The 19,893-nt window shown below is 47.9% G+C and overlaps 1 protein-coding gene across 4 annotated transcripts in view, besides 1 other annotated feature; it reads left to right on the top strand.

Moving 5' to 3' along the window:
* The window catches only part of INSR (insulin receptor), a 182,150-nt gene that overhangs the window by 21,502 nt on the left and 140,755 nt on the right, over positions 1–19,893 (top strand). For all 4 annotated transcript variants that reach the window (XM_011527989.4, NM_001079817.3, XM_011527988.3 and 1 more), the window contains exon 2: positions 5,017–5,568. In XM_011527989.4, coding sequence (XP_011526291.2) covers positions 5,017–5,568 — 552 coding nt within the window. The remainder of the gene's footprint in view (positions 1–5,016; positions 5,569–19,893) is intronic.
* Positions 14,662–15,524: an enhancer, noted in NCBI's record as "H3K27ac hESC enhancer chr19:7257400-7258262 (GRCh37/hg19 assembly coordinates)". NCBI's record gives its function as "activates a minimal SCP1, AML or CMV promoter by ChIP-STARR-seq in primed H9 embryonic stem cells {active_cell/tissue: H9 hESC(primed)}" and the evidence as "EXISTENCE:reporter gene assay evidence [ECO:0000049][PMID:30033119]".

Genomic DNA, 19,893 nt, shown 5'->3' with positions numbered 1-19,893 from the left:
CAGACAACATGTGGCCTTCTCTGTTTGACTTCTTTTATGGAGAAGGTTCATACCTGTAATCCCAGCACTTTGGGAGGCCAAGACTGGAGGATTGCTTGAGTTCAGGAGTTTGAGAGCATCCTGGGCAACATAGAGAGACCACTATCTCTACAAAACAAATTTAAATTAGCTGGGCATGGTGGTGCATGTCTGTGGTTCCAGCTATACTGGAGGCATAATTTTGTTTTGTTTTTGTTTGTTTGTTTGTTTTTGTTTTTGTTTCGTGGGGTTTTTTTGGTTTTGTTTTTTGTTTTTTGAGATGGAGTTTTGCTCTGTCACCCAGGCTGGAGTGCAAAGGCACGATCTCAGCTCACTGCAACGTCCGCCTCCTAGGTTCAAGCCATTCTCCTGCCTCAGCCTCCGTAGCAGCTGGGATTACAGGCATGCGCCACCCCGCCCAGCTAATTTTTGTATTTTTAGTAGAGACAGGTTTTCACCACGTTGGCCAAGCTGGTCTCCAACTCCCGACCTCAGGTGATCCACCTGCCTCAGCCTCCCAAAGCGCTGGGATTAAAGGAGTGAGCCACTGTGGCTGGCCTTTTATTTACATTTATTTATTTATTTATTTAGAGACGGAGTCTCACTCTTTCATCAGGCTGGAGTGCAGTGGTGCAATCTTGGCTCACTGAAACCTCCAACTCTCTGGTTCAAGTGACTCTTCTGCCTTAGCTTCCCAAGTAGCTGGGACTACAGGCACTCGCCACCATGCCCAGCTAATTTTTTTTGTATGTTTAGTAGAGATGGGGTTTCACCATGTTGGCCAGGATGGTCTCAATCTCCTGACCTCGTGATCCGCCCACCTCGGCCTCCCGCAGTGCTGGGATTACAGGCGTGAGCCACTGCGGCCAGCCTGTATTTACTTTTGAGACAAGATATTGCTCTGTTGCCCAGGCTGGAGTGCAGGGGTACAAACACAGATCACTGCAGTCCTGACCTCCTAGGCTCAAGCGATCCTCCTGCCTCAGTCTCCCGTGTAGCTGGGACCAGAGACACACACCAGCATTCCTAGCTAATGTTTTAAATTTTTATAGAGATGGAGACTCGCTATGTTGCCCAGGTTGGTCTTGAACTCTTGGGTTTAAGCAATCCTTCCGTCTCTACCTCCCAAAGTGCTGGGATTACAGGCGTGAGCCACTGCACTCAGCCTCAGCTATTATGAATAATGCTGCTATAGACATTTGTGTACACGTCTTTGTGTGGACGTATAGTATCATTTCTCTTAGGTAGTTACCTAGGAGTGGAATTGCCAGGTCATATGGCAATTCTTGGTTTAATATTTTGAGGAACTACCAGAGTGTTTTCCACAGTGGCTGCACTGTTTTACATCCCCATCAGGAATGCAAAAGGATACCAGTTTCTCTACATTTTATTTTTTCTTTGAGATGGAGTCTCGCTCTGTCGCCCAGGCTGGAGTGCAGTGATCTTGGCTCACTGCAACCTCCACCTCCCAGGTTCAAGTGATTCTCCTGCCTCAGACTCCCAAGTGTCTGGAACTACATGCGCCTGCCACCACGCCCAGCTAGTTGTTTTTTGTATTTTTAGTAGAGACGGGGTTTCTCCGTGTTGGCCAGGCTGGTCTTGAACTCCTGACCTCAGGTGATCTGCCTATCTTGGCTTCCCAAAGAACTGGGATTACAAGTGTGAGCCACGGTGCCCGGCCCATTTCTTTACATTCTTTGCACTTGTAATTGTCACTCTTTTTGGTTTTAGCTATCCTAGTGGGGATAAAGTGGTATCTCACTGTGGTTTGAATTTGTATTTCTCTAATGTCCAACAGCCAGTTAATCTTTCCTTTTTTTCTGTTTTTTTTTTGAGACAGAGTCTTGCTCCATCGCCCAGGCTGGAGTGCAGTGGTGTGATCTCGGCTCACTGCAAGCTCCGCCTCCCGGGTTCATGCCATTCTCCTGCCTCGGCCTCCCAAATAGTTGCCACTACGGGTGCCCGCCACCACGCCTGGCTAATTTTTTTGTATTTTTTAGTAGAGACGGAGTTTCACCGTGTTAACCAGGATGGTTTTGATCTCCTGACCTCGTGATCAGCCCATCTTGGCCTCCCAAAGTGCTGGGATTACAGCCATGAGCTGGCCACCACGCCCAGCCGTTGTGTTTTTTTAATCGAGACGAGGTCTCACTCTGTTGCCCAAGCTGGAGTGCAGTGGTGTGATCACAGCTCACTGTAACCTCCTATTCCTGGACCCAAGTGATCCTCCTGTCTCAGCCTCCCAAGTAGCTGGAATTACAACCACATGCCACCATGCCTGGATATTTAATTATTATTATTATTTTTTAGAGTTGGGGTCTTGCTATGTTGCCCAGGCTGACTTTAAACTCCTGGCTTCAATCGATCCTCTCACTGTGGCCTCCCAAACTGCTGGGATTACAGGCATGAGCCACTGTGCCCAGCCCTAGTTAACCTTTGAATGCATATTCATGTCTGATTTTGGTTCTGCCATAGCCTGGGGAGGATGGCGGCCAAGTGTTCTTTCTACCTGCAGTGTGTGTGTGTGTGTGTGTGTGTGTGTGTGTGTGTGTGTGAGAGAGAGAGAGAGAGAGAGAGAAATGAAATATAGTGTGGGACTCAGGGTTGAGAAGCCCAGGGCTATGGCCAAATCTAAGATTAGGATGCCAGCCAGGCATGGTGGTTTATGCCCGTAATCCCAGCAATTTGGGAGGCTGAGGCGGGTGGATCACGAGGTCAGGAGATCAGGATCATCCTGGTCAACATGGTGAAATCCCGTCTCTACTAAAAATACAAAAATTAGCTGGGCGTGGTGTTGGACACTTCTTGGGAGGCTGAAGCAGGAAAATCACTTGAACCCAGGAGGTGGAGGTTGCAGTGAGCCAAGATCACGGCACTGCACTTCAGCCTGGGCAACAGAACGAGACTCCACATCAAAACAACAACAACAAAAACCCCACAAGAATTTCATAGAAACAATGAGTAATTTTTTTTAGGGTAAGTTATGTCCCAAACATTACATGGGATATACTTATCCTCAAAAAGGTATTATTGCTTATCTGAAATTCAAATTCAACTAGGCATTCTGCATTTTTCTTTGCTAAGTCTGGCAACCCTGCCAGTCACTGGTGAGTTGTGTGTCCTTGAGTGATGGTCTTTGCCTCTTGGAGCTTCAGTTTTCTCATCTATGGGATGGGGACAGAACTTGCTGGGAGGCACCAATGGCACGCGGGGTTCTTTGACATCTCTGGATGTGGAAGCTGTTGATGTGACTGACTGGGAGCCTCAGACTGGGGTTGGGTCCCTGACTAGGAGGGGTGGGGGGGCTGGGACTGGCATCCTTGTCCTCTTGAAGCTGCCTCCCAGCCTGAGCTTGGTCCCTGCAGGGTTCCTGCTTGGTTCAGACCCCAGGCAGCCAGTGTTGAGGGGAGGGTGGAGATTAATCCATAGTTGTGTACTGGGGCTTTCCTCCAACTTCCTAGCAAGCAAGTGTGTGTGTGTGTGTGTGTGTGTGTGTGTGTGTGTGTGTGTGTGTGTGTTTTCTCGACTTAGCCTAATCCATTTGCTGCATGGAATGTGATCCAGGATCACTGCTACTTTTTTTTTCCCATTTGTTTGCTTTTGCTGTGTTTTGTCGTTGTTATTGTTTTTTCTAATTTGTGCTTCTTTTGTGGGTAATTCTCAGGGTGGATTTTTTTTTTTTTTAGAGGATTTACTATTCTTCTTTAGAACAATCTGTTTTCCTCAAAGATATTGGTGGAAGGTTTAGTGTTTTGGAACAAAATAAGCAGGGGTTGTATACTGAGCCTTATATTCTAGGTGCTGAGGACTGTGGTGTGTGTGTTGGGGAGGCGGTGTGTGTGTGTGTGTGTGTGTGGGTGTGTGGGTGTGTTGGCAGAGAGAAGCCATCTAAAGACTTCAATTTTGAAAAACGTTAACTCAGGTGTAAGGGACACAAGGAGGAGAAACACGCAAATAGGTGTGCCAAGGAAAGGAAATCAGGGACGGCTGCCTGGAGGAGGAGGCAGCATTTGAACTGGATATCTTGAAGCATGATGGGCTGGATTTAGAAATAGGGAGCTAAGGTACAAAGCACTTCGCCAGCCAAAAGATAGACTAGCCTAGAGATGACTGTTATATGTTTGGGGGAATAAACAACAGCAAGAAGAACAACAACAACAAACAACAAAATAGCTGACATTAGTGCAGCACTTACTATGTCTCAGGCACTGTTTGAGTGCTTGCCCTGAGTTGTTTCACTTCTTCTTCCATATAAGCCATGTTACAGAGGAGGATAGGAGTCTTGGAGTTGTGCAAGAGTTGTGGGCAGGCCTGTTTAGTGGTGTGCAGGGGATGTAGGGGCAGAATCTTGAGGGAAGTGCAGGATGATGGGGAGCCATGGTGGGCGTTGGGGCCTGGGAGGGACCGCCTTCAGGAGAATGAGAACTCAGGGCATTTGGGCAATGGAGATCGGGCTCCCTGGGAAGCCCTCACCACACCCAGGTAAAAGGTAATTAGGTCTTGATTGCAGGTCAGGAGAGCAGTCCGGGAAGGAAAGTCAGCCAGCGAGGTGGGAGGATTGACAAAACAAATACATTTAGCTTTCCTTGCCCCATTTCTGACCGCGGGCACCTTTATCCCCGTAAATTATCTCCTGAAGATCTTCTATGTTGACGCACTGGAGACAGTTCCCCTTTCTCCTTCTGCACCTGCCGCGTTACTCAATCCCCTGTAATCCCATTGTCCCGACTGCATCATTTCAGAGGTGGTGATTTTAAGGATTTTAACAGGGCTTGCCAAAAGAATTATTTTCTTGGCGTTTTGAAAGTAATTACTTAGGCATGGGTACTTTACAGAGAAAGCTACTCATCCCGGCTGGCTGCAGAGTTTACAGGGCCCGGGATGAAAACACAGGGCCCAGGTTTCCTGTCCATGAAGCCGGCTCTGCCCCTGATCCTTCTGATGCATCCACCGTGCGTCTGCTCACCTGTCTTGCTTTCTGTTCATTTTCTCTTGTAGTGTGTCCCGGCATGGATATCCGGAACAACCTCACTAGGTTGCATGAGCTGGAGAATTGCTCTGTCATCGAAGGACACTTGCAGATACTCTTGATGTTCAAAACGAGGCCCGAAGATTTCCGAGACCTCAGTTTCCCCAAACTCATCATGATCACTGATTACTTGCTGCTCTTCCGGGTCTATGGGCTCGAGAGCCTGAAGGACCTGTTCCCCAACCTCACGGTCATCCGGGGATCACGACTGTTCTTTAACTACGCGCTGGTCATCTTCGAGATGGTTCACCTCAAGGAACTCGGCCTCTACAACCTGATGAACATCACCCGGGGTTCTGTCCGCATCGAGAAGAACAATGAGCTCTGTTACTTGGCCACTATCGACTGGTCCCGTATCCTGGATTCCGTGGAGGATAATTACATCGTGTTGAACAAAGATGACAACGAGGAGTGTGGAGACATCTGTCCGGGTACCGCGAAGGGCAAGACCAACTGCCCCGCCACCGTCATCAACGGGCAGTTTGTCGAACGATGTTGGACTCATAGTCACTGCCAGAAAGGTACGCCGGGGATACAGGGTTCTAAGCAGTGTCTCGTGCCTTGTTCTAGAAAGCTTAAAATGTTTTATGGCTTAAAAATGTTAAATGGTCATTAGGTAGGGGCCGGGGAATAGTGGGTGGTGGCATTCACTAGCCCAGGGAGTGGCAGACATTTTCTGTAAAGACTCAGATAGTAGATACTTCAGATTTTGCAGGCCATATGGTCTCTGATGCAACGACTCAATTCTGCCACTGTATTGGACAAGCAGCCACAGGCATGCATAAATGTATGACTGTGGCTGTGTTTCAATAAAACTTTATTTACAAAAACAAGTCGTGGGCCGGATTTTGCTCGAGGGCAGCAGTTTGCCACCGCCTGTGCTAGTCAGTGAATGTTCTTCTTGCTTGGGAGAGGAAAAGGAGTGGAAAACTGTAGATTCGGTTTTTTTAAAAAAATAGTTTAGTTCTTATCTGATTATAGAAGTGATATTGCTTATAATAGACATTTGGAAAAAGACACTTGTAAACGAAAAAAAAGCAAAACATTCATCTTATTCCACAACGCATGTCGCCGAGAGTAGTTTATTGGGGGTTGTTCCTTCTAGTGATCTTCAGGAATCTGTCGTGTCTACTGAAGGTTTCCTTAACCATTCCTGTTATTGGGCATTAAGATGATTTCCAGGCCGGGCACGGTGGCTCAGGCCTGTAATCCCAGCACTTGGGGAGGCTGAGGCGGGTGGACCACTTGAGGTCAGGAGTTCGAGACCAACCTGACCAACACGGTGAAACCCCATCTCTACTAAAAATACAAAATTAGCCGGGCGTGGCGGTGCACGCCTGTAGTCCCAGCTACTTGGGAGGCTGAGGCAGGAGAATCACTTGAACCCGGGAGGCGGAGGTTGCAGTGAGCCGAGATTGTGCCATTGCACTCCACCCTGGGCAACCAGAGGGAAACTCCTTCTCAAAAAAAAAAAAAAAAAAAGATAATTTCTAGTTTTCACAAAGAGAGTGATGAACATTTTAGAGTCAAAGCTTTATCTAGCAGTTGTTTCTTTAGGCTTGCTTTCCAGAAGTGCAATTTCTGGGTCAGAGGCTCTTGGTGCAGATTGACAAATGGTGTTCCGGAAATGTTGTGCCAACGGCCACTCCTCCTAGCTTTGGAGGAGAGGGAACACCTTGGCCAGCTTTGAGTGTTATTTGAAAAATCTTTCATAATTTACTGCGGGAGGGAGGAGCTGACGTGTTGTCATTGTTTCTATTTGCATTTCTTTGATTGCTATCGGGGTTGAACCTTTTAAAACATGTTTATTTATCATTTGAGTTTTCTCTTCCTGTTCATATCCTTTGCCCATTTGTCTTTTAGTACCTCAGTAGCTTTTGCAAAATTAATCTGTATGTGGTTTTCATCAGTGAAGGCTACTAACCCTTTGCCAATTGCATTTTGTTGTTTTTGTTGTTCAGTGGTTTAAATGCTCTGGGAAGTGTTTTGCTGGAGAAGCTTAAAATGTTTATGGAGTTCAGAGCTGGATTTCAGTGTGCCACTTCTGTACTTTACACTTAGAAAGTCTTCTTCTACCCATGAAAGGTTTTTTTTCTCTACATTTTATATTTTAATTTTTTTTTTTTTTTTGAGATGGAGTTTCACTCTTGTTGTTAAGACTGGAGTGCGATGGTGCAATCTCGGCTCACTGCAACCTCTGCCTCCCGGGTTCAAGCGGTTCTCCTGCCCCAGCCTCCCAAGTAGCTGGGATTACAGGCACCCACCACCAAGCCCAGCTAATTTTTGTATTGTTAGTAGAGACGAGATTTCACTACGTTGACCAGGCTGGTCTCGAACTCTCAGGTGATCCACCCACCTCGGCCTCCCAAAGTGTTGGGATTACAGGCGTGAGCCACCGCGCCCAGCCTATATTTTAATTATTATTATCTAAAAAAATTCATCCTCACTACTTGAGATCTGTTTGTGTGTGTGACTCAACGGGCGTTTCGTTTCTCTCCCAAATAGCTAACTGGGGGCCTCAGACAGCTGTTGATTATAGAAATCTACCTCTTTGCCATTGCTTTGGGGTCTGTTTCTGGTGTGTCCATAGATCTGCCTCTCCATGCCACAGAGCGGTGACTGTTCTGATCATGGTAGTGACTGTTCTGATCATGGTAGTTTTATCATGTTTTCATGCTCAAGGAGGCAATTCCACATTCACACATTACTTGTTTGTTGTTTCATGGACTTCTTTTCACATTTCCCTGGGAAGAACTAGGGAACATGCGATGGAGGTGGGAAGAAGTTAAGTGGGTGGCTTGAGGGTTGTATCACAAAAGATAGAAGGGAGGGGAGAAAGGAGGATCTTCTTATCTGAGCCCAACGCTCTGGGGAAGCCACCCAGAGTGAGTGAGTCCTTAAATAGACCTAAATAGAATCCTTGGAATTGTCTGTGAGGACTCCCTTGGAGCCCCCAGCATGAGTCCTTCCATGGGACATGTTGGATGGTTGGAAATCGGGAGTGGGATAGTTGAAAAAGGAAGATGGGTTAGTGAAGGGTGGTGGGAGAGGGGACCGTTATTATTGCACTGTGGAAAAATCCTGAGAATATTGTAGGTCAGGGGCAAGGAGAAGCTAAACTATGACCAGAGAGGTTACTTAACTTGCCCAGAGCCACACAGCTAATAAAAGACAGAACTGGGGTTTGTGCCAAATTTATGCAAGACATACACCAGAATAAAAGCTATGATTTTTTGGAGGAGTGGGAAGGATGTCCTCTCTGTTTAGAAACAAGTGAGCTGCTTCTAGCTGGGACACCAGGGGAAACAGTGAACATTCTTTTATTCTATTACTGAGTTTTCCAAATGTAGTGCTTGTTTGAAAAGCTCTAGGCCTACCTATCTTGAGATATAATTTAAGACATTCCTCTATGAATTTATTTTTGTATCTGTTTTAGACAAAATATCCAGAATGGTGTTATCTGCAATTGAGTCTCCTGCTCCCTGCTGGGTGTTCAGTTGTTGTTGCTGTTGTTTGTTTGTTTGTTTGTTTTTGAGACAGAGTCTCGTTCTGTCACCCAGGCTGGAGTACAGTGGCACAATCTCGGCTCACTGCAACCTCCACCTCCTAGGTTCAAGCAATTTTCCTGCCTCAGCCTCCCAAGTAGCTGGGATTACAGGTGTCACCACATCCGGCTACTTTTTTTTTTTTTTTTTTGAGATGGAGTTTCGCTTTTGTTGCCCAGGCTGGAGTGCAATGGCATGATCTTGGCTCACCGCAATTTCTGCCTCCTGGCTTCAAGCGATTCTCCTGCCTCAGCCTCCCGAGTAGCTAGGATTACAGGCATGCGCCACCACACCCAGCTAATTTTGTATTTTTAGTAGAGATGGGATTTCTCCATGTTGGCCAGGCTGGTCTCGAACTCCCGACCTCAGGTGATCTGCCCGCCTTGGCCTCCCAAAGTGCTGGGATTACAGGGGTGAGCCACCGTGCCTGGCCAACACCTAGCTAAGTTTTGTGTATGTTGTAGAGACAGGGTTTGGCCATGTTGGTCAGGCTGGTCTCAAATTTCTGAGCTCAAGCACCTCGGCTTCCCAAAGTGCTGGGATTACATGCATCGGCCACTGTGCCTGGCTGTGCCTGGCTGTGCCTGATGTTTTGAGTGAATTAAAAATTGCTTTGCTATTAAGAACCAGGCTTTTGTGTCCAGGAGGTCGAAGCTGCACTGAGCCCTGTTCATGCCACTGAGCTCCAGCCTGGGTGACAAACTGAGACTCTATCTCAAAAACAAAAGAAAACAAAAACAAAAATGAACACAAAACAAAACAATAAAAAGAACCGGGCTTGTTTTTCCAGTACTGGGGGTTTTGTTACCCGGAGAAGGTGCGACTAACACTTCCCGGGGTACCGGGTTCCTGGCATGTGGTATATATCTCAGCCATCCATTAGTAGCAGTATCCCCAGGGGGCCAAAAAATGATTGTTTTTTGAACTGTTGCCCCTGTCTTTGAGAGCAACTCAGCTTCAGCTTTCTTTCCCCTCTTCAATTTCTTGTATTGTGATAAAATACACATAGAATAAATTTTTCATCTTAACTTTTTTTTTTTTTGAGATGGAGTCTTGCTCTGCCACCTAGGCTGGGGGGCAGTGGTGTGATCTCAGCTCACTGCAACCTCCGCCTCCTGGATTCAAATGATTCTCCTGCCTCAGCCTTCCGAGTGACTGGGACTTATAGGCACCAGCCACCATGCCCGGCTAAGTTTTGTATTTTCAGGACAGAGGGGGCTTTGCCATGTTGGCCAGGATGGTCTCAAACCCCTGGCCTCGAGCAATACACCCACCTCAGCCTCGCAAAGTGCTGGGATTACAGGTGAGTGCCACCGCGCCTGGCCCCATCTTAACCATTTTAAGTCCACAGTTTTCAGTGGCATTAAGCACGTTCACGTGGTTTTGCAACCATCACCACCACCATCTCCCAAACTTTCTCATCCTCCCAAACTGAAACTCTGTCCCCATGAAACACTCACTCCACCATCTCCCTCTCCCAGCCCCCTGGCACCTACCATCCTATTTTCTGTCTCTATGAATGTGATGACTGTAGGGACCTCCTGTGAGTGGAATCAGACGGGATTTATCCTTTTGTGCCTGGCTTATTTCACTGAGCATGTTGTCCTCAAGGTTCATCCACGTGGTAGCCTGTGTCGGAAATTCTTTCCTTTTTAAGGCTGAATCATGTTCCATTGTATGGAGGGAGCACATTTTGCCTGTGTATTCATCCATCTACGGGCACTTGGTCGCTTTCACATTTCTGCCATTGTGAATCAGGGCCACTGCTGTTGACGCATCTAGCTTTTCAATGCCTGCATTAACCTTGTTGCTGAGGCTTTAGGAAACTTATTTATTTATTTATTTTTTGAGACGGAGTTTTGCTCTCGTCGCCCAGGCTGGATTGCAATGGTGCGATCTCAGCTCACTGCAACCTCTGCCTCCCGGGTTCAAGCGATTCTCCTGCCTCAGCCTCCCGCGTGGCTCGGATTACGGGCACCTGCCACCACGCCCAGTTAATGTTTTGGATTTTTAGTAGAGATGGGGTTTCACCATGTTGGCCAGGCTGGTCTTGAACTCCTGACCTCAGATAATCCACTGGCCTCGGCCTCCCAAAGTGCTGGGATTACAGGCGTGAGCTACCGCGCCCAGCCTTAGGAGGCTTATTTGATGTCTGATGGGATTTTTGAATACAGAATAGATTGAGCCTTCAGAGGATACTCCCCTGTCTTAGGTGACAGAAATGGGCTGGAGAAAACTATCCATCAACCCCTCTTTTCCCCCAGAGTCTTTTCAGATACTTCTGTGAACATCCGTAGTTGCTATTTTTGTCTTCCACACTTGGCAGCTTCTGGAAGCATCAGGGGAATGCATCAACATTTAGGATGAAGGTGCTGGTTTGTCCTTTGGACCTAGTTTAAGCAATTCCGAGCAACATCCACCCCTTCTTCTACCTGTCCCTTAAGCACTTTTTACAGGGAGACCAAAAAAAGGCTTTCAATGGTTAAGGGGGCCGGGTGTGGAGGCCCCACACCTGTAATCCCAGCACTTTGGGAGGCCGAGGTAGGTGGATCGCTTGAGGTCAGGAGTTCGAGACCAGCCTGGCTAACATAGCAAAACGCTGTCTCTACTAAAAATATGAAAATTAGCCAGGCGTGGTGGTGGGCGCCTGTAATCCCAGCTACTTAGGAGGCTGAGGCAGGAGAATCACTCGAACCCGAGAGGCAGAGGTTGCAGTGAGCTGAGATCGTGCCATTGCACCCCAGCCTGGCCGACAGAGTGAAACTCCATTTTTTAAAAAAAGAAAAAAAAATGGTTAGGGGAATTAAAAGAAAAACAAAAAAACATGGCATGTGCTAATGATCCATAGCCTGGACACCCTCTCTCCATTATCCTGCAATGGATTTGGGGCAAAGATACCAGGAGAGGTCCAATGCACGAAGCCTTACATGGGAAGAGTGGAGACGGGGTCTATGCAGTTCGTTTATTGACTGCCTACTAGGTGTCATGTTCTGGGGCGCTCAGGGCATAGGAAGGGAGCCAGCCTTTGCCTCCTCAGAGCGGCCAGTCTAGTGGCAAATGCAGATGTTCACGATCAAACCAAGTACACTCAGAAGAGGGGGAGAGTTAGAGGGAGATCTACATTAGTTCAGCCAGCTGGACGCGGTGGCTCATGCTTGTAATGCCAGCACTTTGGGAGGCCGAGGAGGGCAGACTGCTTGAGCTCAGGAGTTCGAGACCAGCCTGGGCAACATGGAGAAACCCCGTCTCGACAAAAAATACAAAAATTAGCCAGGCATGGTGGCAGGTGCCTGTAACCCCAGCTACTTGGAAGGCTGAGGTGGGAGGATCGCATGGGCCCCGGGGGCGGAGGTCGCAGTGAGCTGAGATCACACCACTGCACTCCAGCCTGGGCGACAGAGTGAGACTCGGTGAGACTCTGTCTTTAAAAAAAAAAAAAAGAAGTTCTTTGAGGCAAGCAGCACCGGCTTCCAGTCTCGTTTTACCATTGACTGGTCACAAGCTGGTTCAAGCCTCAGTTTCTCCATCTGAAAAATGGGGGTCATTATGGGACCTGCTTCTTAGGGTGGTGGTGTGGGGGTTGAATGAGATGGTGCAGGGGGAGGCACTTAACCTAGCCTCAGGTGCTCCGTGAGTGTCCTGGAAGCTTCCAGTAAGTAAGCACCATGGGCCCACCCTATCTGGGCAGACTAGCTTCCAGGTGAATATCTACCAGGGCTCAGCCTCATTTCTGACTTTGGTTTTGAGGCAGGCAGAGGAACATGTATCTTGCGACCTGCTGATGAGGGATGGGTGCCACACCTCCAGCCCCAGAGGGAAGACCACCCTGATTTTTGGGTGCCAACAGCATGGGATGCTCTGGAAATTCTCAGCTCTGGGCATTTTGAGGGGACCAGAAGCCACAGGGCTTGCCTGACCAGCTGCTTTAGCCAAACCCACTGGCATTTTCTTTCTGGGAGGTCACCCCAGCTGCTCACTGCCGGCCAGAGGGGTGGGTGAGGCCGGGACATGCTGGGTGCCAGGGGAAACCAACCCGAGATGCCACATATGGACGTCGGCACCAAAGCAGGAGGGGGAGGCTGAAAGCAGCAAATCCCTCCTCCCTGGGTCTGAGATTACAGCTCCGAGTCAAAGTCTCTCAAAGTGTGGTATTGTGCCTACCACATTAAATATCACGTATTTAAATGCACGAGTTTAAATGCATGCTCTTGGAGGGTTTGATTTTTGGCAGAATTTTTAGCTGCCTATGGAAACTCTCTGCTTCTTTTTCTTCTTCCATTTAAAAAGTTTGCCTTGATATTTTATTTTTTTACATTTTTATTTAGTTTTTAATATTTTTTTAAATTGAGATGGGAGTCTTGCTATGTGGCTCAGGTCGGTCTCAAACTCCTGGACTCTAAGGAATCCCCCCACCTCAGCCTCTCAAAGTGCTGAGATTTCACATGTGAGCCACCACGCTGGACTTGACTTGATTTTGTTTTCTTTTTCTTTTTTTTTTTTTTGAGACAGAGTCTCGCTCTGTTGTCCAGGCTGGAGTGCAGTGGCATGATCTGAGCTCACTGCAACCTCCGCCTCCTGGGTTCAAGCGATTCTTCTGCCTCAACCTCCTGAGTAGCTGGGATTACAGGCACGTGCCACCATGCCTGGCTAATGTTTGTATTTTTAGTAGAGATGGGGTTTCGCCATGTTGCCTAGGCTGGTCTTGAACTCCTGGCCTCAAGTGATCCGCCTGCCTTGGCCTACCAAAGTGCTGGGATTACAGGTGTGAACCACTACTCTGGGCTTGCCTTGGTATTTTAACAATCGGAATTGTCTTTGTGGCAAATGCTGATTTCATGCCAGCCGTGGTTCTGGGTGCTTTGATTAGGATATTGCATCCCATCTTCCCAACAATCTTATTTATTGTTGAGACCACTAAGGCTTCGAGAGGTTAAGCAACTTCTACTTCCAACACTGCCCCGCCCACCCCTTCCGCCGCGCACCCCACACACATGGGTAGTAAGTAGTGGAGATGGGATTTGAAGCTGGGGATTCTGGCTCAGAATCCAAGCTCTTTACCTTTGTGTCTTATAGATGTCATTGCGGGAAGTTGGTGAAATGCAGGAAACTGTAAAAAGAAAGGAAGGAAGGAGGGAAGGAAGGAAGGAGGGAAGAAAGAAAAGAAAAGGAAGGAAAAAAGGAAGGAGGGAAGAAATAAAAGGAAAGAAAGGAAGGAAGGAAGGAGGGAAGGCGGGAAGGAAAGAAGGAGGGAAGGAGAAAGGAAGGAAGAAAGAAAGGAAGGAAGGAGGGAAGGAAAGGAGGGAAGGAGAAATGAAAGAAGGAGTGAAGGAAGGAAGGAGGAAAGAAAAAAAGGAAGGAGGGAAGGAAGGAAGGAAGAAGGAAAGGAAGGAGGGAAGGAAGGAAGGAAAGAAGGAAAAGAAACTGGAGAGGAAATCTAGAATTTGCCCCTGCCAACATGTGTGTTGCCTCTTCTTATCAGCCTTCTCATTCTGTCTTGACTTAGGGCCTCTCCTATCAGACTAAGCTCTCCTGAAGGCAGGGACTTTGTTGTATCTCAAGCACCTGTCATAGTACCTGGCTCACAGTTGACAATGACATCCTTAACACTCATCAATAGCTAGTGTTTACTGAGCACTTACTATGTGCTAAGCAATGCCTTAGGGGATCCCATCACAGCCTATGAGGGTTTGTTATCCTCATTTTACAGAAGAGGGAACTGAGGCATGGCTAGGAATTATGAGACTTGCTCTAGGAGACCTAGCTGGGGAATGGTTTGACTTCAGACTTGTCTGACGTAAGGCCTTTGCCCAGTGATCAGCAAACTACGACCTGTGGGCCAAATCCAGTCCGCCAGCTGCTATTTTTGTATGACCTATGAGCTAAGAATTTTTTATTTTATTTTTATTTTTAGAGATGGGGTCTCACTCTGTCGCCTGGGCTGGAGTGCAGTGGGGTGATCATAGGCCACTGCCACCTCAGTCAGCCTCCTCAGTAGCTGGAACCACAGGCAGGCACCACCACGCCCAGCTAATTTCTTTTTATTTTTTTAGTAGAGATGGGGTCTTGCTATGTTGCCCAGGCTGGTCTCAAACAATTGGGTTCAAGCAATCCTCCTTTCTTGGCCTCCCAAAGTGCTGGGACTATAGGCGTGAGCCACTGTGCTTGCCTGGCTTAAGAATGCTTTTTCACATTTTTGGCCGGGCATGGTGGCTCATGCCTGTAATCCCAGCACCTTGGGAGGCCGAAGCGGGCAGATCACTCGAGGCCAGGAGTTCAAGACCACCCTGGCCAACATGGAGAAACCCCATCTCTACTAAAAAATGTACAAACATTAGCTGAGCGTGGTGGCGGGCACCTGTAATCCCAGCTACTCAGGAGGCTGAGGCAGGAGAATCACTTGAACCTGGGAGGCGGAAGTTGCAATGAGTGGAGATTGCGCCACTGCACTCCAGCCTGGGTGACAGGGTGAGACTCTGTCTATATATGAGCTGGACATTCAGCATTCAGGGATAGAGGCTGTTTCAGTGGGACTTGGGAGCACCACGGCCTGAGGCCATACAGCCCAGCTGCCCTTTGCTGGTACTTCCTTCCTTCCTTCCCTCTTTCCTTCCTTTCTTTCCTTTTCTTTCTTCCCTCCTTCCTTTCTTCCTTCCTTCCTTACTTTTTGAGACTCTGTCTCAAAAAAGAAAAAAAGAAAAAAAAATGTGGGGTAGAGCACTGTACTGAAAAAAATTCCACAGTAGTTGTAATTCATTTTTCACTCAGATGATTAGCATTTTTTTTTTTTTTTTTTGGAGCTCTCTGTTTGGGTGGAGGAGGGCAGTATATGTACAAGGCAAGGCCCCCACTCCACCCTCCTCCCTCCTCCCACCCCGCCTTTCCCCTTCGAGTGAGTCATCGAACCCGTGCTTCTAGACGTGTTTGGAGCAGAGCACCTGGAAATCATGATGTTCTCTAGATAACAGGGAATATTGATAAATTCCCTTGTGGCGATGTCACTGTCGTCCATACAGAAGACAGGAAAGTGTAACGCCTGCACACGGGGATCCAACAAAAAGAAAAAGATAAGGTGGGGGAGGCCGGGCACGGTGGCTCAGGCCTGTAATCCCAGCACTTTGGGAAGCCAAGGTGGGTGGATCAACTGAGGTCAGGAGTTCGAGACCACCCTGGGCCAACATAGTGAAACCCCGTCTCTACTAAAAATACAAAAATTAGCTGGGTATGGTGGTGGGCACCTGTAATCCCAGCTGCTTGGGAGACTGAGACAGGAGAATCGCTTGAACCCAGGAGGCGGAGGTTGCAGTGAGCCGAGATTGTGCCACTGCACTCCAGCCTGGGTGTCACAGCGAGACTCCATCTCAAAAAAAGAAAAAAAAAAAAAAAAAAAAAGGTAGGGTAGAGCATGTAACGTGAATGATGGCCCACTTGAATCTCTCATTCGTCTTTCTTCCCTTTTATGTTGTCAAAGATCTTTAAAAAAAAAATCTAGGAGAGAAACAAACAAAAAAAACTGTACTGAAAAAAATTCCACAGTAGTTGTAATTCATTTTTCACTCAGATGATTGGCATTTTTTTTTCTTGTTTTTTCTTTTTGAGACAAGGGTCTCAACTCTGTTGTCCAGGCTGGGGTGCAGTGGCGCAATCTTGGCTTACTTCCGCCTCCTGAGTAGCTGGAATTCCAGGCACGCACCACCATGCTGGCTAATTTTTGTATTTTTTGTAGACATGGGGTTTCACCACGTTACCCAGGCTGGTCTTGAACTGCTGGGCCCAAGCAATCCACCTGCTTCAACCTCCCAAACTGTTGCATTATATTATAGGTGTGAGCCACTGTGCCAGCCAGGATTGGAATTATTTATTTATTTATTTAGTGAGATGGAGTCTTGCTCTGTTGCCCAGGCTGAAGTGCAGTGGCGCAATCTCGGCTCACTGCAACCCCTGCCTCCCGGGTTCAAGTGATTCTCCTGCCTCAGCCTCCCAAGTAGCTGGGACTACAGGCGCCCACCACCACACCCGGCTAATTGTTGTGTTTTTTTTGTATTTTTAGTAGAGACAGGGTTTCACTATGTTGGCCAGGGTGGTCTCGAACTCCTGACCTCAGGTGATCCTCCCACTTTGGCCTCCCAAAGCGCTGGGATTACAGGCGTGAGCCGCCATGCCCAGCCCTTATTTATTCATTTTTATTTTATTTTAAAATAAAATAAATTTTAAAAATTTGATTGAAATTTTTTAAACAAACTTTTCACTTTGGAGATGATTGGATTTTGTAGAGCAGGAAAGAACAAGTACCCTAGAGAGTATGTTTCTGGGCTCCCGGCTCCTCTTCCGGGGGTTGAAGATGAATTGCCGTTGGCCTTTGTAAAAGAGGAGAGATTGTTCCAGATTGGAGTGGCAGAGATGTGCTTTGGTTTGGGTGGCAAGGATCACAAAGAAAGAAGATGAGGTTGGGTGTGGTGGGTCATACCTGTAAACCCAGCACTTTGGGAGGCCGAGGCAGGAGGATCACTTGAACCTAGAATTCGAGCTCAGCCTGGGCAACATAGCAAGACCCCATCTCTACAAAAAATTTTAAAAAATTAGCCAAGCATGGTGCTGTGTGCCTATAGTCCCAGCTACTCAGGAGTCTGAGGTGGGAGGATCGCTTGAGCCTGGGACTTTGAGGCTGCAATGAGCTATGATTACACCACTGTACCCCAGCCTGGGTAACAGAGTGAGACCCTGTCTCAAAAACAAACAAACAAAAACAGAAGGAAGGAAGGAAGGAAAGAAAGAAAGAAAGAAAGAGAAAAGACAAGACAAGAAAAAAAAAAAAAAAGAAAAGACAGGGTGAGAGGGAAGGGTATTCGGGTGGATGAAATGGCAAAGAGAAGGCCAAGAGGCGTTTTGTGGGCAAGAGTGAAGAGGGTGCCTCATGCCGGGAAGGGAGGCTTGGACCAGTGCAGGGTCCTTATGGGCTCCAATGCCGTCATGAAGGTCACACAGGGGCTGTGTTTAGGAGGGGCTGTTTCCACCAATACTGAGTGGACAGCCTTGCTGAGCCAGGCTTTTTGTTGCGTCCCCGAAGTCCTTGCTGAGTCAGGGAGGAAGTCAAAGTAACTATCAGGTTAGATAAGCTGATGGGTGGGCAGAAAGTGTTTTGGTGGGTTCAAGGCTGCGCTGAAAGATGGTAGACCAGTTGACCGTGTGGTCACTTGGCTGCCCCAGAGATGATGCTGTCTAAATCTTGAGTGGTGAAGATAACGAATTTACAATTCCCACCATTGCCTGGCTTCCTGGAGCGGGTGGGTGCGGGGACCGGGGAGGGGGGCCGGGGGAGGCTGAGGGCTATCAGTTGAAACTGACCTTTTGGCCCAATCCTTTTGGGAAGAAGGCGGGTAGAGTTAAAATCCATCGTAATGGAAAGGCGGCTTTCCCTTTGGCTGTCTGCTAACTTGGTGACTGGCCTGACAAGTTTTTCTTTTCCTTCCTCCTACCTGATACTCACTGACCGGTTACTTCCCATGTCACCCGACCCTTTGTCAGAATTAAAATCTGTTCTTTGTGACTGAACACCTGAAATGCCCCGGGGAGGACCCAAGGAAGTCAGCGAGCGCCTGTGCGTCAGGCTGGCAGCCCAGGTCCTTCAGTGATCTGTTTCTCTCAATGCGCCTGTGTCAGATAGAACCGTGCATTTCCCAGTAAAAGGAGGTGATGTGTGTGCTGGAGTTTCAAGATTGTACCCCTTATCCTATCTCCCCTTTCCTCTGTCTTCCCTCTCTACTTTTTTATTTTGTTGTTTGTTTGTTTGTTTTTGAGATGGGGTCTTGCTCTGTCACCCAGGCTGCAGTGCAGTGGTGCGATCATAGCTCACTGCAGCCTCAGCCTTTTGGGCTCAAGCAATCCTCCAGCCTCAGCCTGGCCAGTAGCTGGAACTATGGGTGCATGCCACCACGCCCAGCTAATTTTATTTACTTATTTACTTATTTATTAAAGAGATGGAGTCTTGCTATGTTTCCCAGGCAGCTCACAAATTCCTGTCCTCAAGTGACCCTCTCGCTTCAGCCTCCCCCATTAGCTAAGACTACAGGTGCGCACCACCATCCCTGGCTAATTTATTTTTTAAATTTTTCTTTTTGTAGAGATGGGGATTTTGCTATGTTGCCCAGGCTGGTCTTGAACTCTTAGACTCAAGCAATCCTCCCACTTTGGGAAGCCCAAAGTGTTAGGATTACAGGTGTCAGCCACCAGGCCGACCTGTTTGCTCATTTTTCCTTTTCCTTTTTTCTTTTCTTTTCTTTTTTCTTTTTTTTTTTGAGATGGAGTTTCGCTCTGTCACCCAGGCTGGAGCACAGTGACACAATCTCGGCTCACTGCAACCTCTGCCTCCCAGGTTCAAGCGATTCTCCTACCTCAGCCTCCTGAGTGCTGGGATTACAGGGGCATGCCACCACGCCCGGCTGATTTTTGTATTTTTTAGTGAAGACGGGGTTTCACCAGGTTGGCCAGGCTAGTCTCAAACTCCTGGCCTCAAATGATCCACCAGCCTCAGCCTCCCAAAGTGTTGGGATGACAGGCGTGAGCCACCACACTCGGCCCGTTTGCTCATTTTTAAACATAAATGATGTCAAGAGTGGGAAGCAAACAAGAAAGTGTTGAAAGCATTGCTCTCCTCTGCTCCCTGGTTACCTATCATCCTGGGGCCCGAGGAGTGGCTGCAGATTGGGCCACCTTCCTCCAATCACAGGTTTGGGAAGTGGACCAAAGTCTTTCAACACACTGGACTTAGCATGATCATCAAATTTGCACTGGAGGGGCCAGGCACACGCCTGTAATCCCAGCACTCGGGGAGGCTGAGGCGGGCAGATCACTTGAGGTCAGGAGTTCGAGACCAGCCTGGCCAACGTGGTGAAACCCCGTCTCTACTAAAAATACAAAAATAAGCCGGGCTGGTGGTTGGAACCTGTAATCCCAGCTACTCGGGGGGCTGAGGCAGGAGGATTGCTTGAACCCGGGAGGTGGAGGTTGCAGTGAGTCGAGATCACGTCACTGCACTCCAGCCTGGGTGACAAAAGCAAAACCTCGTATCAAATAATTAAATAAATAAATAAACAAATAAATAAATAAAAAATTACACTGTAGGGCATGTGGTAGGTGAAGCCCACCATTGTCAAGTACCTACCTAGAGGGTTTGGGGTAGAGGGTCCTGTGGCTTCTTCTATTTTTTTTTTTTGGCGGAGTCTCACTCTGTCACCAGGCTGGAGTGCTGTGGCACGATCTTGGCTCGCTGCAACCTCCGCCTCCCGGGTTCAAGGGATTCCCCCG

Source organism: Homo sapiens, chromosome 19 (genome assembly GCF_000001405.40).
Source record: "Homo sapiens chromosome 19, GRCh38.p14 Primary Assembly".
NCBI classification, from domain to species: Eukaryota; Metazoa; Chordata; class Mammalia; order Primates; family Hominidae; genus Homo; species Homo sapiens.
Note: the sequence above shows the minus strand (reverse complement) of the source record. Positions and strands in the feature narration are given on the sequence as shown.